Raw genomic sequence first — 23,443 nt, 5'->3', positions numbered from 1 at the left:
GACAACAGAGTGTCGGCTTTATCCCATATGCCATGAGAGGCCAGGCAGGTCCATCCGGCACAGGATGAAGAGAGCCAGATGTGGGTTTTAGGCCGTGGACTGAAGAACCTGGAGGTGGGCACCAGTTAGGAGTGGCTAGCAGTCCAACGTACAGGATGCTTTTAACTACAGGGTGGGCTTTGGCAGTCAGGTGAGGACACACAGAAGGCACAGCTAATGGCATCTGCTGGCAGGTTACCCATGGAGGCTGAAGGAAGAGGGGCTGTGGGGGTGGTGGTGCCATTAACTGGTAGAATCAAGACCTCAACAATCAGCTGGGTGCAGTGGCTCACGCCTATAATCCCAGCACTTTGGGAGGCCTAGGCGGGTGGATCCCTTGATCCCAAGAGTTCGAGACCAGCCGGGCAACGTGGTGAAGCCCCATCTCTACCAAAAAATACACAAATTAGCTGGGCATGGTGGTGCACACTTGTGATCTCAGCTATTTGGGAAGCTGATGTGAGAGGATCGCTTGAGCCCAGAGGTGGAGGCTTGGCACCACTGCCCTGCAGCCTCGGTGACAGAGTGAGACCCTGTTTCAAAAAAAGACCTCAACAGTTCCTTGGGGGACTGAGGTGCAGATGGCCCTGCAGGAGAGGGCTCAGGAGAGCCCTGCGGCCCGGAGATACAGGTGGCGTGGTGGCCTCGGGAGCTGCAGGTGTGAGGGAGGAGATACAGACCAGACTGCAGGGTGAGGTGCTGCTTCCCTCTCTCGAGAAACACACCAAGGGCTGCTTGTTCACAACAGACACACCAAATGAGCAGCAGTGGCAGGAGTCAGCCCTACCTTGAGGCTCAGCCGGGGCTTGCCCTGGAGGAAGCGGCTGACGATCTGCCGCTGAATCTTCTCCAGATCGAACTCCTGCACGGTCTCTCTGCCCTCCTCCACCTGGTACTGGCAGTTGGAGAGAATCAGTGGAGTCAGGTCCCGCTCCACTTCATAACTGATGACATGCAGTTCAGTGACCTCGGCGGCATCCACGGAATAGCTGAGGGGCAGAAAGACAGCGCTCAGCGTCCAGGCCAGGCATGCGGGCCTAGGGCTCTATGTTGCAGGGAGCAGGCTCCCATTTCTCACAGTTGGAGCAGTGGAAAACCCTACCCAAGTATGGGGCGGGTCACTGGTGGGGGCGGCTGAAGGAGTGAGTGTCTGTTAGGGAAGGGGCTGAAGCTTGCTTGTGTCTGCCCCACTGGGCTTAGGGACTCTGGGCTGAGCAGGCACCACTTCCTGGTGGCTCGTGCACAAACCTGTTGTTTTCCTTGGAGAGTTTTTCCACGGCGTAGACAATTTCATTGTGTAGGCGAATCAAGTAGCTGACGAGAGCGGTAGCACAGAGGCCCAGGCCCCGTCGGCGTGGCAAGAGGATCTCAAACTCAGTGTCCAGATCCAAGTCAGTGCTGCAGTAGTCTTTGGGTAGGTTGATCTCACCTTTAAACGACAGGGTTATGCTTAAGCAGAGAGGAGTTCCAACTCCTCACAGAATCTAGGCGTGGGGAGGAGGGATGCAGAAGCCATCAGCTCCACACACAGCCGGGAGCCGGGTCTCGGTTCTGCCCCATCTCATATGCTGATAGAGTTTCAAATGCTTTCAGCTCCCTTTTGATGCCATATTTAGGGACTGAAGAGTACTGAGGGTTTATTTTCCTGACACATTATTTTACTTATCCAGACACCACCATCAAAAGAGACACAAGTTAAGCGTTAACAGTGCTGGCTGGGCGCAGTGGCTCCCGCTTGTAATCCTAGCACTTTGGGAGGCCGAGGCGGGTGGATTGCCTGAGCTTGGGAGTTTGAGACCAGCCTGGGCAACATGGTGAAACCCTGTCTCTACTAGGGGCTGAGGCAGGAGAATTGCTTGAATCCGGGAGGCAGAGGTTGCAGTGAGCCGAGATGGTGCCACTGCACTCCAGCCTGGCGACAGAGCAAGACTCCATCTCAAAAACAAACAAACACAGTGCTGGGTGTTGACAGGGATGGGCCGAGTCAGGCTGACGAGAAGAGCTTTCAGACGAGGCTCTCCTGGAACGCTTAGTGGTACAGGGGACAGGATACTAACCGTTCGTCTCAAGCGATCTCCTCAGTTTGTTCCATGTGGACAGAAAGACTGTGATCCTGTTGTGAAGCAGCTGCCTCAACCCATCTGTTGAACAGAATACTTGGTAAGAACCGTATGATAGCAACCCCCTGAAAGGGCCAAACCACCCTAGTTACATGCTCTGCCGAGAGCCCATCTTTCCTGCTTTGTGCAGTCACAAGCATGTCTGAGGTGCTGTTTGAAGGAGTGAGCCGAGTTTGAGGAGCTAGAGAGGGAGGTGCTTTTCAGCTGTGGCGAAAGCTTCTAATATGTTTTTGGGGTTCAAGCACCCTTCACCGCATGGTAAGGGCTTAGGCTATAGAGCACCCATCAGCGCCTCCTCCCCTCCGCCCCACCCTGTTCCCCTATGCAGTGATCCTTTCGAACCGCCAAATGCGGGACAGTCCTGGTCCTGTCAGAGCAGAGCCACACCTGAGCTGTGCTTGCTGAGGAAGCCTCTGATGGAGCTGTATTCAACTTGCTGGACGTTCTGGAACTGCTTCACTAGATCCCTTTGCAAGGCCAAAATCTCAGGCAGGAACTTTACCAGCCTCAGCTCTGCTTCCTGGAGAAGGGAAGACCACCCAGTAACAATTTTTATTTACCTAAAAAATGTTATTGGGGTTACAGACTTTGAGACTGGCTGCGAGACTTGTATTTGTAGCTTAATCTGGTCAGTGTCATTTCCTGTGATGCAGCGTGGAGCTTGAAAACGGGAAAAGTTCTTCCCACAAGTCTACAGACAGTGCAGTGTGCTAGAAATGGAGGGCGGCGAAGAGGGAGCCCAGCCTCTATGGAGCTGACGCATCAGCCGCGTCCATCAAAGGCTGATGAAGGAAATCTGTCCCTTGGGCCCATGTAACTGGCTGGGTACGGAGAGAAGCTGCTGAAAGAAGAGACCCAGAGCTTAGGCAGCGAGGGCTGGCCTTATTCCTGGGTGTCCTTCCGAAGACCTAGGATCTAAGCATCTTCGACGTAGTGAAACTGCATCTGAGAGAGAGGCCACAGTATTGACAGGAAGTCCTTCCTGTCATTGTGAACTCATACTCCTCAACTGACCAACAGAAGTTTCCAACTCGTCTTCATCCTTGCTAGACAGCAAATAATAGTCCATGGAGAGAAATGTTTAGACAATGTGTTGTAGAAAATGAAAGTGCAAATGGGTGAAAGTTAGGAAAGTATATTTCCAATTCCAACAGATGTGGCCAGTACACTTGACTGCTCCCCAGTACCCCAGCACCGCCGGCACACACCCACTCACTCCCGTCTTCCACGTACGCCTCGATGCTTAGGCACAGGGAGGAGTTTTGTTTGATCTGCCCATGCTCCAGCATTGTGGACAGAGAGGAACAGAGCGGCTGGGAAAGAGCTGCATCCTTTTCTGTCTGGCTGAGTGATGAGGGGAGGTCCTCTCCTGGCCTCCAGCTTCCCCACAGGTCACTGCTAATCCCAACGTGGGTGTGTATTTCGTCTGTGACTTTACGCTTCTGGCAATCATACAGTTTGATATGTATGAAGATCTCTAGCCCTGAGTCTTCTGCTACATCCTATTCAAAACCAAAGCACTGGAATAGTCTGTTAAGAATGATTATACTACGTAAAAGCCCAGGGCCTTCAGGCCTGCTGGGGAACTCTGCACCGAAAGAGGGAGGGAGCCACAGTAAGCCAGACATACCTTCTGCAGGAAATGCCAGAGGATGGGCACTCTTTCTTTGCCATTTTTCTGTTCCACAATGTGCTGGAGGTACTCAACTGTAATTCTTTTCCTGCAGCTCCAAATCTTAGAGCAATGGACCACACTTTTCCGGGGCAGGTGGGGCAGGAAGGTCACTGGGTCACCATATATTATTTTGGCCACAGGGTTAGAGCTGATACGCTTATCTTGGCTGATGAGATTATTCATGGTGGGAAGGGTTTTATCTAGATGCTGGATGGAGAAAATGAAAAAAAAAATTCTGGAAGTGAGGTATTGCTACAAACAGATTGTAACACCCAGTAACTCCACCAGTGGGTGTCTGCATATTAGGGCGTTTGTCCCCTGCTCTGAGCATGTAATCAGGTATTCCCTTTGATCTTCTAATTTCAGTGTTGTTTGTTTATAGATGTATGTCTCCCCAAACAGAATGAGATTCAGAAACCTATATTTCTCTTACTAACATTCTGGCTGCTAGATGAATAATTAATCTATGATTGTCAGTTCATTTTTAATGGGTATATATGTGATAGTTTATTTCTCTACCTCGTACATTACATTCTGCTGTAAAAAGTAATGGAGAGAAAAACACTGCCTGCACTTGCTGGATTCCCAGGAATTCCTCGGACTGACTTCATGACCAGCTGTAGGAGGGAAGAGCACTTGGGGACAGGAGGAGGATGGAGTGACTCGAGGTGGGGAGCATTGGAATCTGGGGCTCAGTCAAAGGCTCTTGCTGGCACCGCTACGAGGGGCAACAGGCAAGGAGCATTCAGCAGACGCCGGGACCCTTCCTTTCTGGACCGAGGAGCAACCCAGCTGTCAGCACTTACTGCTTACCTCCAGTTCAGGAGAAATCACAGCTGCGATTTCCTTTTCCCAGTTGTTCCTCATTTCTTTAGTTGACAATTCTGTGTCAAAATTTAAAAGCCCTACAAAAAAACTCCAAATGTGTAGGTTACCCAAGGCACAAAGAACACAGCAGTCTGCGTATAATAAACCCTAAATAAGTGTTTAATAGAAATAACACTCGTTTTGAGGTAATAGCTTTCTAAATTAATCTAAGTATTTTGAAGTAGTTCCTGTTGTTACCACCAACTTAATGACCTTTTGAAGATAACATCAATCTCTAAAAATTCCTCTATCCTACATAATTGTAATCTTAGACCCATTTTGAAAAAAATTACTGAAAGAACAGAACTTGAGCTCAATAGTAAGAGTGGCCCAGGCTACCGCCAGCCGTCTCAGCTGCTGCCACCCAAACCCTGAGGCAGACCACACAGATGTGGAGTGCTGCGGGAACTGTCCACCTGCTTCCAGGATTCTGTCATTTCATCAGTGTGACTCTGGGTGTGCTCACTTTGCTGAAATCCCACCAGAATAAGAGGCTTAAAATAAAATCAGATTGTTCAAAATGGAAAATAAATAGGAATGCCAGTTTCAGGCAAAGAAGTACCTGAGGTGGGAGCAGATTTTCTTGTCATGGGGCAGGACTTCTTCTTGCTATTATTGTTATTATTTTAAATTAACATTGTCCTCACAATGGTCATTGTGATTTTTGCAGATTAGCAAAAGAAAATCACTCTTAATTCCACCACTCACAGATAACCATATAACCATTTTACTAAGTTGTCTTACAGACCTTTTCTTTCTGTATGGATTTAAATTTTTAAAATAGAAAGTTAGCTCAGTGAATACAATATTTTATAGCTTTTTTTTTTTAACATAACTGTGGACATATAAACATTTAATAAATCAGCACACAACTGTGATGGTGATTGATCCTTTGACACGCACGCTCTGTGTGGACGACACGTGCTCCCAGCATGGTAGGGGAATGACCTACGGGGCTGACTTCGGAACTGAAGACTCCCCATATATGCACACTGAACACTTGCGTGCAGACGCTCCCGAATACCGCAGGTCTTAGCCAGGCAGGGGTGAATGGAGGGAACAGAGCAGCTCCTTCCAGCCTCTGGGCAAGCAGAGTGCTTCCTTTTTCCAGCCCCAGGCATCGCCTTCCCTAGACACGGTTTTCTCTCTGTGTGTTCTCTCATTCTTTCCAGCAACAGCACAGACAGAGCTCAGACTGGCTGTGTGTGGGGTGGCCCACAAGACAGCGAGCCTGCTTGCGCTGCCGTTGTGCTGTGTGATCCCCGCCCAGCCCTTGCCCCTTTCCTCACTTCTGCTAGAGAGCTGGTGCTGCTCTTGGAGAAGCCTGCGCAGGACGAGGTGGACCACGCCGATGGTCTCGTCGGCACTGTGTCCCAGCATCTTGGCCAACTGCTCCAGGTCCTTCAGGATGTGCTGCTGCAGAAAGCCTTTTGGATCCCTCACTGGAGGCTTAATGATGTTTATCAGAGCCTGTGGGGGCAACGGAACAGAGTGTTCAGCGGGGATCTGGTTTGTAGAGAAGATGGTGAGCCTGGTAGAGGCCATTGGGAGTGGAGCACCAGCATAGAGTCGGAAGGCGGTTTCTAAGATGAAAACGGCGGAGTGATCCAGGTGAAAGGAAGGCTAGCAAGCGGAACGGCTGCTGGCTTTTCTGTTGTTACAGTGAGATAAAGAATATCCAGATTGTACTGTTGGCCATCTTGGTTATGCAGTGTGCTCTTTCTTCCCTAGCTACAATGAAGACACAGGTAAAATAATGAAGATGTCAGCCTCTCTACTCCCAGATGTGGACCAGAGACACAGAGTGTTAATTTGAAGTGGATTCTGTATAATCTGGGGAGTAGTTCCCCCCATACCATCATACGCCACAGGGGGAAACATGAAGATGTATAACTTGTATATTACTTTGTAGACTAATTATCTCCAAAACGCATAGATGGCAGCTAGGACTCAAGACAAAAGGACTCCCTGGGAAGAAGCGAAAGCAGGTTCTTAACTGAGCCCATTGTTTGGCAGCACTGGGTTATACCTGGGAACTCTGGGACGCTCCCAGAAGCAGAGCCAAGTGAGTGAGTAGCCGGATAAGGAGGAAGACCACTGGGGGCAGCCCTCGGTCACATGTCACCACGTCTCTCCGCTGCGGGTTGCCCAGCACGTGGCCGGTCTGCGTTCTGTCTGCCTTGTCTCTGGAAAGAACGAGAGAACACAAGACAGAGGCTGAGGCTGGCCGCTTTGGCACGCTGCACTTTCTCAGCACTTGGAGTGAGGCTTACGGCTGAGAAGAGAGTTATGTGAAGAGTACTTGCTGTTCCACAAAGCCTGGACCATGTTCCTAAGAGTCTCTCTCATGATAGACTCGCCTTTCCGGTGGACCAGACCCGACCGCATTCTCAGCGTCAGGTGGCTGCGCTGTGTGGTATTGATGCTGATCCCCGGGCAGGGTGTTAAGACGCAGGCCTGGACCCGTCTTTTCCACTGAAGTCTTTGTCAGGAGAGGAGCGGTTGGGCTAAGAACAGCTAGAGTTTGGGAGGACAGTCGGCATCCCATGGGTGTCCATATTGTTCTCATCTCCCCAAAGGAAAAACCGGGATCTAAAGTCCGGCAGAGAGGAGATGCAGTGTGGCCGATGCTCTCAGTGGCAAAACTATTAGAGGATGGAGGACACTGTGACAGTTTCTGGAGATAACATGAAAGTATTTTAAGCTGTGACTGCAGGGAACAGTCAGAATGTGAGGCCCCCACGCAGGTCCCACTCACTCTCTGAAAGGAGCATTTAGAACCACATTCATCTCAGCATGGGATTGTGGGATCGGATTTGTACCTGGATTCTGAAGTCTGGTATTTCATAAGACTATGTCTGTCTCCTTCATTTTTCTCAAAAAATAAAAAATGGAGAAAGCTAAGATTGCTGGCAAGTGAGATGGCATCTGCTGAGACAGACGGATGCCCAGGTTTTGGTCCTGCAGACATAGATGTCCTCGTGAATTAGATCATCTGTTTATGTCATGCATATTTCTACAGAAGGTGCACCCAAGGCCCAAAAGGAAGACACCTGTATTCATATTAACAGCTGTTAAAGGGTAGCCTGCTTTGCATTTCAGGGCCCAGGGATCCAACAACAGATCAGATGCCTCCCTGCTGTGTGACTGCTGGGACTTTGGCATTGCTATTCAATATGACACAGGCCCACATGTACTGGAGTAATTAGTACTATCTTGAGTATCACTTTATCAGCTGGAATAAAAACAGCCCAACACCCCAAAGTTTGAGTACTTAGGAAATAGAATCCTGACCCACATACTTGACCAGATGAAAGCCGTCCCGAGGTTTGTGGTCAATGCCTCCAATCGGCGCATGGCAGTCAATGCAGATGCTCTGTTCCATCGGCCTGCCACACTAGGGTGAAGACAGGGCACTAGAACCACTTCTGGAGCAGTACCATTTTATGCACAAATGCCATCATGCAAATGAACACCTCCTTATCACCGGCAGACGTGAGCACCCTCAGATTGTCCCAGTGTGTGCTTGTTTCGGGTGGGTGGAGAACCCATGGGAACAGGGTAGGTACTCACTAATGTTGCACGTGGGCAAACTGGAACTGTTTTTTAAATAAGTGAGACAATTTAAGCTTTATTCCCAGAGTGACACTTTATAGACAAATATATAAAATTCAACCTTCCTTTCTTGTATTCAGCACTTTTTCCATCCCTCCATCTATCACACTAGCCTGTGGCACTTCATGATCTAATACCAAGAATACTAGAAGAGCTTCCAAACTGACTTCCTTATATTCATTTGGACTTTTTCATATATCAATTTTTATGAGACAGAGCCTCGCTCTGTCCTCCAGGCTGGAGTGCAGTGGCACCATCACGGCTCACTACAGCCTTGACCTCCCCAGGCTCAAGCAATCCTCCTACCTTAGCCTCCCAAGTAGCTGGGACCACACGCATGCACGCATGCACGCATGCACCACCATGCCCTGCTGATGCTTTGTGTTTTTTTGTAGAGACGGGGTTTCAACATGTTGCCCGGGCCAGTCTCAAACTCCTGGGATCTAGCAATCCACCTGCCTCAGCCTCCTGAAGTGCTGGGATTACAGGTGTGACCTACCACACCTGGCTTGGACTTTTTTATTTAAAAAAATCTAATCACATAATCTACTTCCAAAGGCTTATTTTTCAAAATCAGATATTGTGCCACAATATACTGAGAGTCACGGCTGATAACACACCAAACCAGTTACAGAATTTCAGAGCTGGGAGCATTCTTGGATAGACTCTATTTCAGCGTCCTCATTTCATGGACAAGGAAGTGATTGAAGCTCAGAAAAATGAAGTGTATGTAACAGTTTTTCTCCCTCCGTATCTCTTATATACATTATTAAATGACGTGTATCAGGCTGGGCACAGTGGCTCATAATCCCAACACTTTGGGAGGCCGAGGCGGGAGGATCGCTTGAGCCCAGGAGTTCAATGTTTATAGTGAGCTATGATCATGTCACTCTGCACTCCAGCCTGGGTAAGAGAGCCAGACATATCTCAACCAAGTAAGTAATACTAATAACTAACTACCACGTGTCAGCTCAACCCACCAGCCTCTTGCTCAGCAAGTACAGATACTGTGTATGGAGGGCTCTAGGCTAGATGCTTGGGAATCCAGAGAGGAATAATCAACAGTTCTTCCCCCATGGCGCACAGCCTACACGTGGCTTTTTCCTTTGGCATCTGGACCACACCTCCTCTGAGGGCTAATAATGCAGCCTGTGGTCCAGGCAACACCTTGCCATTCTATCAAGACAAGGCTCACTGACCCCATGCTGCAGTGGCTAGAAAGAATGGCTAGCAGCAGTTCCCAACCAGTAGCAATTTTCTTTCCTAGGGGACCTTTGTCAATGTCTGGTTTTAGCTGTCACACTGGGAGGAGTGGGTGCTCCTGGCATCCAGGGACTCGAGGTCAGGCATACTGCCAGACAGCCTGCAGTGCACAGGACAGCCCACGCCGCAGAGCCACGTCCACAGTGCTGAGTCTGAGAAGCCCTGGGCTAGAAACCCTTAGCGCCATTGGCATTGCCCTGCTCAGAGCACCCTGGGCAGTCCTCGGTGAGCCTGTGCTCTCCTGGAAGGCCGAGAGCCTCACTCTCCTGACCCACGATCCCCCTCCTCCAACCCAGGAGTGCACGCCACCCCTCAAACCCTATCTTAAATACCAAGACTCACCTCTCCCACGGAGCAAGGATGGCCGTTGGGACAAGCTGTGAAGAGAACAGGACACACATTGGCTAATGAGGTTTCACCCAATGACCCACATTGAAAAGGGAAAGCTAACTCTCTACTCTCTGGCCCTGACCACAATATGAGAATGACTGTCCAGAGCATCCCACGCTAATTTGTTAAGTTACATGACACCTGCCTGAAGCTTAATAAATGTATGTTGTCAGTGAAAAATGTCTGAGTCTAATTTTATTAATTTTATCAAGTAAAGAGCAATTAGAATATAGGCCCATACCAGGGGTACTTTTGGAGGCAAGGTGGACAGGATTCTAGACCTTTCTATTTTCCTTGATTTTTTTTTTTTTGTCATGAGCATATTTTATAACAACTTTAAAAACTAGTTTTAAAATATTTACTCAGGCAACAGCAAAATTTACATGTCATGGGTTATATGAGTCAGTCTCCCGGTTCTATATTTCATATATTTCAGAAGAGCTTTGTGTCAAAAACTTTGTTTTGTGGTGGGCCTTTGAATGCGTCTCTGATGTGGTTCCCAGTCCCTCCCTTCTCCCAAAATGGCATATTCCAGAGAACAGAAGTGCATCACAGAGGGCCTTTTCCACACGACAAAGAAATGAAATGGTTTGGATCATCTAGCCGGCGGAGTGCCAGCTCCTTCAAGCCATTCGTCTTCTGCAGACGCCACCGGTAGAATGCAGGTGGTTTTGGACCCTGAGGCACAAACCACGTGGACCCCAAGTCGAACCCAATGCTTCATAGCATCTGGACACCCTTTGAAGCTCAAAGGAGTGTGGGGTCATCTAGACCCCAACACTTACTGTACCAGTGGACTCGCTCCAGACCCTTCCACCTCCGAGCTTGAGCCAGCAAGTCTTCAGGCATGGTTGGAAGAAAAGCATGCTGAAAAACAAGAAGACAGAGACAGCTCTAGATAAGTGAGCTTGTCACCTGGGTGCTGCTGCTCAGCAGGAGGCCTAGAGGAAGAAAGGGAACTCTGCTTTCCTTCTGCTGGACTTCTCAAGCTGTCTGTGAAGAAAACAGAACAGCTTCCTGTGAAATAACAAAGGGCAAGGCAAGTCTGTCACTATCTTGTGTGCTCAAGAATCAGGTGACACAAAGGCAGAGAACTGAGGAGATAAAGATGCTCAAGAGTTCCCACAGCTGCAGCTCGGTCTCTACAGTGACAAGCTCTGGGGGGTGTTCCAGTGAAGGCCGATGGAATTGTGGCCTACTCTTACCGCCATGGTGGCTGGGGAGAAGGCCAGATTCTTTAGGGGCTCCAAGAGTTCATTCTGTCCACACAGAAGGACGGCTGCAGCATGAATGGCCATTTCTGTCACCGTTCCATCAAGGTTGCTGTCACTAGGCCCCGCCCTCAACAATGGCACAGAATTGTCCACGAGCGATGTTGCAAAACGGCTGATATCAGGAGGTGAAAGGATCTTGCATTCGCCAATGAATTTGCTCACAGCTTCACATTGCTGACAGGAAAAAAACTTAACATTAAGATGTATCAAAGAATATTGTGTGAATTGCTCTTAGACATACACTGACACCAAATACACATCAAATATCAAGGTAAATATGGAGAAATCACCACCATTTGAGGGGGAAATTTTTCAGAGAAGAGAATTGTGCATATACAAACACAGCATCCACATACGTAAGCATTAATTTTGATATTCTATTCTGTTAAACATTATCTTATGTTCTTGGCTTTAGTTTTCATTATAATTCTACAAGCTTTGGGTTAAACAGCTTGGTTATGTGTTCCTCCACATAACAAGGTTGAGAACCTCTATCCTAGATAAAAAAATTATGGTATGATTTGTGTTGATAACTTTCATTCTATTCAATAAAATCCCTCCAAATACTGAGACTTTGAACACAGCCCTGCAGGCGGTTACTCACCTCTGGCGTGGGGTGGAGGCTTGCATTGTGGGATCTGTACAAAATAGCCACCTCTCTAAACAGTGTTAACAGGAAGTAGGCTGACTGCTGGCTTTGGGGGGTCTTGCAGGCCTGCAAAATCAAGGGTATCAAGTAAGAATTTAAAAGCTCAACACATCTTTTTTTTTTGAGATGGAGTCTTGCTCTGTCACCCAGGCTGGAGTGCAGTGGCATGATCTCGGCTCACTGCAACCTCTGCCTCTCGGGTTCAAGCGATTCTAACTCAGCCTCCCGAGTAGCTGGGACTACAGGCACACGCAACCATGTCCGGCTAATTCTTTTTTTTTTTCTTTTAGTAGACACGGGGTTTCACCATGTTTGCCAGGCTGGTCTCAAACTCCTGACCTTGTGATCTGCATGCCTCGGCCTCCCAAAGTGCTAGGATTATAGGATAGACGCCCCCGCACCGCTGCCTGCCAGATCTACCTAAGGGCCAGAGGCCCACGAAGTTTGCATGTGAAAAGAAACTTTTCACATGCCTCAGCCCTCAACCCACCAAAAGGGAAGGAGCCTTTTCCAGGCCTGGACACCTGGGGTCATGCCCCACATGGGCAGTCTTCTGGCGAGCAACTTTTGGGCTACAAAGTTCCTGAAATACTCTCAGATTAAACTCAACGCATATTTAGCAGCCAGCTTAATGACAGAAGCAACGGAATCACCATCTGTTCTTCTGACTCCTTCACTGGTCTTAGAAACTTCTGAGCAGAAAGAGGATTTTCCATTTCCTCTTTTCCTGGCACAGGGACTCAAAAAGGAAGCAAGACCAGACCAATTTAAAGGTTAGATTCTAAAAACATCTTTATATTTTTTAACTTCCCACACTACACCAACATATGTATTTTTATTAAACACACATGCATATCTGAATTATGAATACATCTAGGTATGAATTTTGCTATTAATAGTTGTGTCAGCATCTTTCTTAGACTGTTTTCCAGCAGGGTCTCAAAGGAAGTAATGGGCATAAATCAAAAGGCGCTGCTGATGGACTTGGCAGATCAGCAAGACACAGCAAATCTGTCAACCCAGCTCAACTGTCATAGCTGTCCTGTTCCAGCCACTGGTTCACGCACACTAGCCAGGTGCGCCCTGGAGGCTGTGGGCACGTGACTTCCAATACAGTGTCACGTGATGGGCTGCATCAGTGGTCCATCACCCTGCATCATTTGACATAAACCAGGGAACATGCAGGCTCCAAGGGATGCCACCTGGTATCAGAGAGAAGCCACGGGCCCATCCTACCTTCAGAGCAGTCTTAATGCCCAGTGGCTTGCACTCGAGGACAGCTTTGGCCACAGCATCACGGAGAGCCTTGTATTCATCGCCGTACACCAGGTACCTATCCATCTGGCCTGGGTGGTCCTGCCGCAGCCCCTGGAATACAGAGGTTAGTTGGGGGTGAACAATGGGAGGAATGTCTTGCAAAGAACCGTCTGAACGGGTACAGGAACCAGGTGGTTGATCATTCGAGGTTTAAAGGCAGCCAAGCTGGGATTCCCTGACCTGGCCTGAGGCAGGACAGTCTGGTGCCCTCTTCGCAGGGAGCTTCCTCCTCAGTAGACGAAGAGGTGCAAGTGCAGGGAATGCCTGCCGACGGCAGCGCTACCTGGGGAGGTGCTTGCTTCCTCCGTTTGCGGCGCACCGCACCACACCTGAGGCCGGGTGGCTCAAGTCATGTCAACTCTAAACCCCAGGTGGTAGTCAAACAGTGCCGGGGTTCTTAGTACCATTTTTGTATCCCCTGGACAATAAGAATTTGTTAATTTCTGGGTATCTGGAAAGGACCACTGAGAGGCCTTGAAGCCTCTTTTTTTTTTTTTTTTTTTTGAGACGGAGTCTCGCTCTATCGCCCAGGCGCTGGAGTGCAGTGGTGCAATCTCGGCTCACTGCAACCTCTGCCTCCCGGGTTCAAGTGATTCTCCTGCCTCAGCCTCCCGACTAGCTGGGATTACAAGCACCCACCATCATGTCCAGCTAATTTTTTTTTTCTTTGAAGTAGAGACAAGGTTTCACCATGTTGGCCAGGCTGGTCTTGACAAACTCCTGACCACAAGTGATCCGCCTGCCTCGGCCTCCCAAAGTGCTGGAATTACAGGTGAGAGCCACTGTGCCCAGCCTGGCCTTGAAGCCTCTTCTGCAATTCTTCTATTCCTAGTTCTTGCTCTTGCCTGTCTCTGCCTGCCAGAGGTAAAAAGGTCGCACCTTGCAAGCTGAACTACGTTTAATTCGCTGAAAGCAAAGGCCACAAGAATGTTCTACTTTCCTTGAGTGAAATTCAATTAGAAGTGATGCCTAATTAAAGAAGCTCTGAGGTGAGTGCCCTCACCTTGGCCCTACAGCAGGCAGTGTAAACATGATCACAAGCTGGGGCAAATCAGCTGAAGCACAGAGACAAAGGACCAGACAGACAAGCGGCAGGTTTCCTTCCTGGCTCTGGGGATGCTAAGGGCAGGCGGAACGCGGAAGCAGTGGCACCATCCCTGGGTGTGAGGGTGAGGTGTGGGGGTGTGAGGGTGAGGTGTGGGGGTATGAGGGTATGTGGTGGGGAAGGTGTGAGGGGGTGGGGTGTGGGGGGGGTAGGGTGTGAGGGTAGGGGGGTGTGTGGGTTTGGGGTGTATGGGGCTGTGGGGGTGCATGTTTGTGTGCTGCCCGGCCCCGCTTCTCACCTGCTGCTTGACAACGTCCTTGGGAAACACCCACTGGTGCGGGCGGCCGGGCTTGGAGAGGCCCTGCACGAACTCCATCCCCCGCTGGCTGCTGAGCTTCCGCACCAGGTACACCCGGTGCCAGTCGTTCTCCACCCGGATACAGAACTGCTTGACTTGCTGCAGGTAGCACTGCTTCTCCTTGGCCATCTCTGAGAGGCCAACGAGAAAGCGGGTGAGTGGCTGGTGACTTAGGGCATTTATTGTAGGACACAAGGCCAACCAGAGGGCATCGGACCTACCCACAGGCATTCACAGAAACACATCCAGGGGAGAGGGGATGTAGAAAAGCCCAGTAGTAGTCTATTCGAAGAACTAGTTTCCCATACTTCCTGAATTTCTAAATAACGGAGTCTTTAAACCCAAAGGAAAGCAAGGCAGAGAAGACTTGCCTGGGCCTCCCTCAGGCTCCGAGAGGAAATCTGCAGCTCTGTCGAGGCAGAGGCGGATCCGGGCCACCTCTTGCAGGTATTCAACCGAGGCCTCGTTGGCAGGCTCTCGGCCCCGGCTTGCTGGAGAATATGCCTTAAGGAAACGACCTTCCTCTTCTAGGTGGTTCAGTTCATCATTTCTGGAGTAAGCACTGGTCTTCTCAAGTATTGAATCCTGAGGAACAAGGAACAAGAAAGAAAAGGATATTATTTTTTTAAACATGGATGCCCCAAGCTTCTACAGTCGCCAATGTGACTGTGGAGAAGGAAGGATAGAAGAATGTTACTGTAGGTTTCAGTGTAAATTTCTTGACTTATGGAAACCTAACATTCCTTTTTATTTTAAGGACAAGAAGGAGGGGAAAAGTGAACCTATGAGGAAAAAAAATTATCTAATTTATTTACATTATAAAAATTTTGGATATAAAAATATGAAGATAAAAAGTATCCATAATGTCCCCACTCAATGATAACCACTGTTAACTTTGGCAGTATATTCTCCTAGGCTGTTCTGTTTTGTATGTATATGCAAGTAAATGCCAAAATATACGTTGCTGAAGGCAGAAGCCGCGTCTTTGAAACCTTTCTTCTTTTCTGCACGGAACAGAGCATTCGTTAATTATACTGACTAAAATTATATTCTGTAAATTTTAAACCATGTGGTTCAGATAGTTTCCAAAAGAAATTCAGGGAAGAGAGAGTTCACTTACCTCCAGGCAGTTGATGAAGAGCATGTACAGTTCAGTTTTATCTTCAGTTATGAATGCTTTCTTTTTTAACAGGGTCAAATATTCCTGAATATAATCTTTTACATCATGAAAGCTGCAGAAAGAGAAATATTATTCCTGGTTCTCTCAGATCTGGAGACATACCTTACTAAAAAAAAGAGCATCTATCTATCGGTCGTCTGTCCTGTGTGTGTGTGTGTATAAACATATACATACATATACGTGGTTTCTAAGATTTTATGGAAAACCTTTTAGCATAATACTGGAGGAATATAAAACTCACATTTTAGACCAGCTGTCCTCAAACTTTGGTTTCAGGACCCCTTTATAGTCTTAAAAATTGAGAACCCCGAAGAGCTTTTATGTGGGTTATATTATCAATATTTATGATATTAGGAATTATGAGACATTAAAAACAAAAGGTTTCAAAAATATACATTCATTTAAAATAACAATAAAGCTATTACATGTTAAATAACATTTAAAATATTTTCCAAAACATGAATCCGTGAGAAGAGTGGTTTGGTCTTCCATTCCTGTGCTGGCCCTGGGGCCTGGCTCCTGGAAGTCAGCGGCCTGCCTGCCCTGCTCCCCATCGCTGCAGCATATGGGAGAACATGAAGAAAATCTGTCCTCATATACTCGGAATAGCGAGGAACATTTTAATAGTTTTTGCAGCTGATTGTGGCTATTATTCCTTAATGCTGTGCCCACAGTGATAAATGGTCATGTCTAGAGGTTAGTTGCAATGTGGAGCCTGAAACTGTATCAGTGCATTTTTCAGTCAATTATGTTAAAATCAAAAAGGTCTGCCCATACTTTAAATAGATTTTTTTCTTTTTTGACCCACATGATTTCATGACATCAGGCATTGGTCATTTGGAAAATATTGGTTCACTGGGCTGTGCAGGTCTTGTAAAGGTTGACACATTTGTATTCTACGTTTTAAAAAAAAAAATCCATATTCATTAATATCACCACAAATTGCCCCAAAATGTCTTTAAGTATTCAAAAGCTCACAAGCTCATAGTGGAGAATATAAGCTTTTCAAAATTTTAATTTCAGCTTAAAAGCTTGAATGTTATCATCACCAACCAACATTGTCAGTTGTTTGGCTGAGGCTGGCTCACTTTGCTGATTTCCAGGAGAGGCCTGCCCAGCCCTGGACACCTGTATCATGTGCATCCTTCCTCCCAGCACGGGTGGCGGTCCATGAACACAGCAGCCGGCTGATAACCCAGGGCTTGTCATGAGTGATTTTCTGTGAGGCAACTGTCTACTCCGGTGTGTAGTGGGAGTGTTTTGTGTGTGCTTCCCATTTCCACAAAACGTTGAAAAGTCAAATCCTCAAGAGTCAAGATTTAGTAAAACTAAAATGAAACTGGCATGAAGAAAACCACGTGTGCATGGCGGTGAAGAAAACAATACCTCCAGCTACTGTGTCTTCACGTGAGGGGCCAGCAGTTTAACTCATCACCGCTTTTTGTAACATCATCATAAGTATCAACATGTTTTTTAAAAAAGGGCAAATTTATCTTAGTAATCTAATTTTTAAAATAGTTTTAACCTCAGAGACCTACCTCACACCCAAGGGTCCATACCAACACTTTGAGAACTGCAATATTAGATCCATACAAGTACCACAGGTGATACTATTCTTGGATGTCAACATCCTTTCCAAGGAAATAGAGCCCATGTTCAGGGGAATAGAAACTTAGGAGACATCTAGGACATTCAGGGTGAGCAGGATTCTAAGCTACCATCTGAAAAATCAGAAAGTTGCGCTGCTGTGGAACCAGGCTCAGCACCACAGATTCTGGCCTCTTGAGTTCCATGTCCCTCACGCCACTGTGGTCCCTTCACGGCACTGTTGGCTTCTTGCTAGATGCGTGTGCTTGTGGGAATACTAAACTCATGTGCCTATATGTGAAAATGTCAGAATACACAACCAGTACAAGTAACCAGGCTGTGTCTCACCGAAAAAGCTCCCCAAGATCATGTACTAGCTACTAGTCACGACAAGAAGACTTGGTAACAAAACGCTGCGATGAAGAGAAAAAGCCAGGGCTTTCCAGAAGCAAGTCTCCATGTTGTTCTTACCTGTACTTCAAAAGCAGTTTCAGTATCACTGAGCGGATGACAGGAGTCTTATCCACAACATCATTGAATGGAGAGAGAGATTTTGTGTGTTCACAGTGTCCTTAAACCAGAAAGAAAAAGGCAGCTCACTGCATGAGACATGCAGAAGCGAGATGAAGAAATGAGGGGCTAGGTTTACAGGAAGAAAGCAACCTACTCTGGGCAGCATCTCTTAAGCGCCCCTTTTGGACGAAGAGGAGAGAGAGCAGGCTCTCAATCACTTCCTTCTCAGGCGGAGCGTTGTCCTTGAAGCAAATGGTGGACACCAGGTCTACGAAGAAACTGTTGCACATCTGCCGGAAGCGGGCATGCTTTTCAATGGCTTCCCTTAGAACACGAGAAACAGAAGACAGGTGGATGGTGTTTCCCAAATGCCTCCTTACAGAATGACTTGAGATTTGCACAGCATTTCACTTTTTTTTTTTTTTTTGAGACGGAGTTTCACTCTTGTTGCCCAGGCTGGAGTACAGTGGCGCGATCTCCGCTCACTGCAACCTCCACCTCCCAGGTTCAAGTGATCCTCCTGCCTCAGCCTCCCAAGTAGCTGGGATTACAGGCACGCACCATCACGCCTGGCTAATTTTGTATTTTTAGTAGAGATGGGGTTTCACCGTGTTGGCCAGGCTGGTTTCGAACTGCTGACCTCAGGTGATCCACACACCTCGGCCTCCCAGAGTGCTGGGATTACAGGCGTGAGCCACCATGCCTGGCTGGCATTTTACTTTTAAATTGAAAGATTCAAGTCACTCCTCTCACCCGTTAGAGCTAGTCTTCAAAACCTCAGCAGATGATATTTACATGCATCCCTTTCTGGAAACACTTTGATCATTTGGACCCGGCAACAATACCCTTCAATATCCCAAAGTATGTCAAAGAACCCATCCACTGGGCTTGCCTGGTGCCCCACTTTTAGGAGGCCTGAGAAGGGGGGAAGGGGAAGGAAAGAAAACCAACCACTCACAGAGCCGGGCTGAGGCCTGCTGAGTCCAGAGAGCCAGAGCTGCTTTTAACCAGCTCCAAAAAGCTAGACAAGAAGTGGGTTGATCCTCAGGTCAGTGACTGTGAATGATACTGATGCATTAAAACCAGTGGCGTCGGCCAGGTGTGGTCACTCATGCCTGTAATCCCTGCACTTTGGGAGGCCAAGGCGGGTGGATCACCTGAGGTCAGGAGTTCGAGACCAGCCTGGCCAACATGGTGAAACCCTGTCTCTACTAAAAATACAAAAATTAGCCGGGCATGGTGGTGCATGCCTGTAATCCCAGCTACTTGGGAGGCTGAGGCAGGAGAATTGCCTGAACCCAGGAGGTGAAGGTTGCAGTGAGCTGAGATCGTGCCACTGTACTCCAGCCTGGGCAACAGAGTGAAACACTGTCTCAAAAAAAAAAAAAAAAACACTGGCGTCTACATTCCTTGGGCCTCTGGTGAGGACCTTTGTTAAGACTTTCTGGCTTAGTTCCTCTGAATTTGTTGTCTGAAATCTGTATGTGTATGTCTTGGGGAGAGAATAATCTTGAGATACCAGATATTTATGAAAGTACGTAAGTGGCGTCTCTTATGATAGTTCTCTGAGGTCAGGTTTTCTACCAAATGAAGGTTAATAGAGTTTATATTTCTGAATATTGTGTTTGCCAAAAAAGGAAAATGAAAAAAAGGATGCTTTCTTGAGAGAAAGGGTGTTGTACCTGTGCGCTTGGGAAACAGCTGGAGAGAATTCGTCTGGCAAGGCAGTTAAACAGTAGGGGCATATCATCTGCTCTGAGGCAAACCAGGCCCTGAGGCAGCGCAGGCAGTGCACGTGGTCGCAGGGCAGACAGACGGGGTCCTTTGCATCTCCCAGGCAGATGGAGCACGGCTGAATCCCAAACCTAGAATCCAAGAAGGGCAATCAGTTCTGAAGCAGAGAAACTGGCCAGAAGAAGTGAAAACCACGAGAGGTTCAGAATTCTCGCCTTCACAGATCCAAACCTAAGGTCTCACCTGCTGAGGGTCTTGCTGGCTGTCTCCTTGCATTCACAGAGAGTGCGCATCACGGCCTCAAAAGGCCCGTGCGTCTTCACGTCAGAGTTCTCTCGAAGACACTGAAGAAAGGCAGGGACAGGAGTCATTAGCAGGGGGGAGGGCTGAGGGCGGCCAGGCCGGGCGACAGAGGGAGCACCACATTCAGGGCCAAGGCTGCGCCGTGTGTGTGGGGTGTGGGGTGCGAGGCCTTTGTGATCCTGTGTTTAACGCTTGAACTCTGAATGCTCGTTTTGTGATTATGCTGCTTGTCAGGGGACTACATTCTCAAGTTACGATTTTCCCTCTTCTTTTTCTTTTAAGGTCTCCTCCGCTCTCACTAAGATATTTCAAACTTTAAGTAATAATAATGACCATCTGTATACCCCCCACCAAGCTTTAAGAAATCTCAGCATTTATGGAATATTTGCTTTAGATCATTTTTTAAAATTTTTAAATTTTTTAAAATTTTCTTTCAGCCTCCCAAGCTGCTGCGATAGATCATTTTTTAGAGAAACAAAACATTATGCATATAGTTACAACTTCACATCCCTCCGTCCCTCCCCAGAGATAACTATATTTCTAAATGTCTGCTTTTAGGATAGCTGTAAGCATATCTGAACATGGAGTTATTATTTTGAATGTTTTAAAACTTGATATCAATGATACCACGTTGTATAAAGGCTTCTGCAACTCATTCTCTTCATGATACCTTAGGTCCAGATCACTCCTGTACCCACTGATAAAGACACCAGTTACCTGTCTGCTGGTTAATGGGCATTTAGGTTTTTTGCAATTCCTGACAGTCCTGTATTCAACATTCTTGCATATGTCTGAGAGCAAATGAGAAGTTTCTCTAGGATATAGTTAGAAGTGGAAACACTGGTTTTTAGGCAATACACATCATCACTGTACAAGATAGTTTAATGGCTGTACTAATGGAATTTGATGGGCAGGCATGATGTTGGTATAGACATCTTAATATTATGTCTACCTTGGGCATTGTGAGCTCAAGGAGAGTTCCTTCCTGTTCCAAGTTTGACAAGGGTATTTCTTTCCAAATAATTTTATCAAATGCTTTCTCTCTACATTTTGAAATGATCATATAGAGTTTATCTTTTAATTTATATAACTGATGACATTTACAGATTTTTTTTTTTTTATTTTGAGCCATCCTTGAATTGCTGGGATTAATCTTACTTGGAAGTGATGTGTGTATTTTTAATATCCTAATAACTTTGTTAATCAACAACCCAATTCAAAAATGGGCAAAGGACTTGAATGGACATTTCTCCAGAGAAGACAGCAAATGCCCAACAAGCACATGAAGGATGCTCATCATAACTAGTCATTAGAGAAATGCAAATAAAAACCACAATGAATTATCACGGTGGCCATTATGAAAAAAATCAGATAGTAACAGGTGTTGCCCATGATGTGGAGAAATTCAGACCCTGGTGCCTGGCTGGTGGGGATGTAAGAAAGATGCTGCAGCCCCCGTGGAAAACAATACAGTGCCTCTGCATAAAGTTAAACAGAGTTATCAAATGATCCAGGAATTCCCCTTCAAGGTACATATCCAAAACAACTAAAAGCCAGCCATGCCCGCAGTCCCACCCGTGCCATCCTGCAGCAGTTCCGTCGACAACTTCCTGCCCGGCCGAGGGAGCCAGCCTCACGGCGGAAGGCAGGGCTTTCCCCCAAGCCTCTTGTTTCAAATGGTCCCAAGGGCTGCTCTTCAGCGGGGGCTGGGTAGGGGTACAAGTCAGGCTTCCAGCAGGAAAACTAACGAGGTAAGGTCTTTGGCTGTGGTTACCTGCACAGAGATCTGACTGGAAGGAAATAAACCAGAAACCCAGTAAGTTTCTGAGGCCATTTTATCGCCAAAAAAAACCCTCCCCACGTTCCTAACCTCCCAAATCCTGTGGGCATGTGAGCAGGCAGGGGCCAGCTCCTTTACCTTTGGGTTTATGGGCACCTGGCCCTTATGACCCACGCTGGACCTGGCTGAAAGCCCTGTGCATCTCCCAGAGCGCCGAGACATGATGAGACTTGGAGAGGCTGCATGCTGTGTGGGTGTGGGGAAAAGGGTGGAAGGGGGGCACCGGCTGTGTCCTACTATCCTCTCTCCGCCTTTTCCTTCAGCAGAAGAACTCAAGTTCCACCTGGAACATGACCATGCCACGAAAAACTCCTCAGTTTCTTGCAACCAGATAAGGCCGAGTGCCTAAGTTTAGGACCACGAGACACGAGCTGGTGTGGCGTGTGCGTGTCCGGGATTGGGCTCTTAAGGAAAACGGCCTGTCCTCTACCTCCCCTGCTTTCTGTCCCACAGGCTGTGACGCCAGGCCACGGGGTGGAAGCTGAACATTAGGGACAATGAAGGGACAAGACGGAGCGTGGGCACCTGACTCCGTGCCAGCCTCCGGGGAGCTGGTACCTTAGCCTTGGGCTGCTCATACCCATCCTGGGTGGGAAATCAGCTGATACTGTGTCTAAGCCGCTGATGTTTTGATAGGTCAGAGTCAACACATCCAGCATCCATGCTGGCCTCCTTTTAGTAAACCTTCCTGTGCTCCAAAGGTCGGACAGCCAGCGCTGCCTCTTCCAGACCCCCTGGCGGTGAGGGCTCTGGATGTGCTCACGTGAAGGTCACGGGTGCGGGTGAGGCAGAGGCTGAGGCTGTGTTTGGCTGAGTGGCCACTGTTGCTGGACACCACTGCGTGGCCACAGAGGGGCATCACTGTAGGGTCACAGGTTTCTTTCTGCAGACCACCCCACATTAGTAGCTTTATGAAGGGTGTTGAGTGACAGGCATGGTGGCTTCCTGTTCCTTGGTTCTGTTGACAGCACTGTTTTGAAGACCCCAAACCCCGGTGGCATTCTCTGACATCCTTGTCTCCATGACTATGAAAATGGTAACAGCTTCCACAGATGGCCAGGCTAGTGGTCTGTTCTGGGGTCACTCCAAAGGCCAGGTAATCCCTGCCGAAGGTTTCACAAGCATGTTCCCTGCGTCAGCCCCTTTCTGCACACAGTTCCTGGAATCACTTCTAAATGATATGCTCTGACTTAGCAATCAGCAGAGGGTAAATAATTAAACAATTAAACATGGAAAATGTAATGGCCTAGTGATGAAATCACCTTCCTTTGCATGTCTAGACAAAACGGTCAGAGCCAAAAGAGCGTCTCCCAGCCGCAGATCACTGTCAGTGCTGTTCTTCCTTTCGGAAAAGGGTGGATCCGTGCATGTGCTGAGGCCAGCCCAAGTACTCACCTTGTCTAGTAAGAAGACGTGCTCGGTCACCAGCCCCTGTAACTCGGGGACGCGGCTCTCGGTTCCTAGGAGCACGTGCTCCACGAAGAGTGCGGTGGAGAAAATCCGACTCCACTGGGCTCTGTCAAAAGAGGGCGCCACTCACTCACTCACTCGGCTCCCACCAAGGAACCCAAGGGTGAAACGAGGAGGGAGACGGGAGAAGAGATGCGGGACCCGGGGTCCAGGCCCAGCGGCTGGGATTACAAGCAAGCCCTATGTGACATACTTCCTGGCCCG

At 48.0% G+C, this 23,443-nt stretch overlaps 1 protein-coding gene and 1 long non-coding RNA gene across 10 annotated transcripts in view, besides 4 other annotated features; one reads left to right on the top strand and one right to left on the bottom strand.

The window, feature by feature from the left end:
- Positions 1-23,443, bottom strand: part of RNF213 (ring finger protein 213) — a 137,943-nt gene that overhangs the window by 11,077 nt on the left and 103,423 nt on the right. For 5 of the 9 annotated variants that reach the window (NM_001256071.3, XM_047436482.1, NM_020914.5 and 2 more), the window contains 22 exons: positions 23,165-23,285; positions 19,870-19,970; positions 19,575-19,757; positions 18,047-18,216; positions 17,851-17,950; positions 15,733-15,844; positions 14,984-15,197; positions 14,553-14,743; positions 13,129-13,260; positions 11,848-11,958; positions 11,175-11,417; positions 10,755-10,836; positions 9,922-9,956; positions 8,004-8,098; positions 6,731-6,887; positions 5,991-6,171; positions 4,648-4,739; positions 3,790-4,041; positions 2,547-2,679; positions 2,097-2,180; positions 1,288-1,468; positions 827-1,028 (listed from right to left, as the gene is read on the bottom strand). In NM_001256071.3, the coding sequence (NP_001243000.2) occupies positions 827-1,028; positions 1,288-1,468; positions 2,097-2,180; positions 2,547-2,679; positions 3,790-4,041; positions 4,648-4,739; positions 5,991-6,171; positions 6,731-6,887; positions 8,004-8,098; positions 9,922-9,956; positions 10,755-10,836; positions 11,175-11,417; positions 11,848-11,958; positions 13,129-13,260; positions 14,553-14,743; positions 14,984-15,197; positions 15,733-15,844; positions 17,851-17,950; positions 18,047-18,216; positions 19,575-19,757; positions 19,870-19,970; positions 23,165-23,285 (3,172 nt within the window). Of the gene's footprint in view, positions 1-826; positions 1,029-1,287; positions 1,469-2,096; positions 2,181-2,546; positions 2,680-3,789; positions 4,042-4,647; positions 4,740-4,798; positions 5,459-5,990; positions 6,172-6,730; positions 6,888-8,003; positions 8,099-9,921; positions 9,957-10,754; positions 10,837-11,174; positions 11,418-11,847; positions 11,959-13,128; positions 13,261-14,552; positions 14,744-14,983; positions 15,198-15,732; positions 15,845-16,173; positions 17,514-17,850; positions 17,951-18,046; positions 18,217-19,574; positions 19,758-19,869; positions 19,971-21,504; positions 21,720-21,847; positions 23,286-23,443 lie in introns of those variants that run through there. The other 4 variants (XM_011525084.3, XM_047436483.1, XM_011525086.3 and 1 more) reach the window with 4 other exon arrangements.
- The window catches only part of RNF213-AS1 (RNF213 antisense RNA 1), a 63,339-nt gene that overhangs the window by 27,451 nt on the left and 12,445 nt on the right, over positions 1-23,443 (top strand). The window lies entirely within an intron of this gene.
- Positions 1,209-2,408: an enhancer, noted in NCBI's record as "CDK7 strongly-dependent group 2 enhancer chr17:78359110-78360309 (GRCh37/hg19 assembly coordinates)". NCBI's record gives its function as "activates an origin of replication core promoter dependent on BRD2, BRD4, P300/CBP, MED14 and CDK7 cofactors, with strong dependence on CDK7, by STARR-seq in HCT116 cells {active_cell/tissue: HCT116}" and the evidence as "EXISTENCE:reporter gene assay evidence [ECO:0000049][PMID:35650434]".
- Positions 6,896-7,396: an enhancer, noted in NCBI's record as "H3K4me1 hESC enhancer chr17:78354122-78354622 (GRCh37/hg19 assembly coordinates)". NCBI's record gives its function as "activates a minimal SCP1, AML or CMV promoter by ChIP-STARR-seq in primed H9 embryonic stem cells {active_cell/tissue: H9 hESC(primed)}" and the evidence as "EXISTENCE:reporter gene assay evidence [ECO:0000049][PMID:30033119]".
- Positions 10,962-11,162: a silencer, noted in NCBI's record as "peak3024 fragment used in MPRA reporter construct". NCBI's record gives its function as "represses an SCP1 promoter by STARR-seq MPRAs in K562 erythroleukemia cells {active_cell/tissue: K562}" and the evidence as "EXISTENCE:reporter gene assay evidence [ECO:0000049][PMID:32103011]".
- Positions 14,751-15,950: an enhancer, noted in NCBI's record as "BRD4-independent group 4 enhancer chr17:78345568-78346767 (GRCh37/hg19 assembly coordinates)". NCBI's record gives its function as "activates an origin of replication core promoter dependent on BRD2, P300/CBP, MED14 and CDK7 cofactors, and independent of BRD4, by STARR-seq in HCT116 cells {active_cell/tissue: HCT116}" and the evidence as "EXISTENCE:reporter gene assay evidence [ECO:0000049][PMID:35650434]".

Source organism: Homo sapiens, chromosome 17, assembly GCF_000001405.40.
Source record: "Homo sapiens chromosome 17, GRCh38.p14 Primary Assembly".
In the NCBI taxonomy this organism is placed as follows: Eukaryota; Metazoa; Chordata; class Mammalia; order Primates; family Hominidae; genus Homo; species Homo sapiens.
Note: the sequence above shows the minus strand (reverse complement) of the source record. Positions and strands in the feature narration are given on the sequence as shown.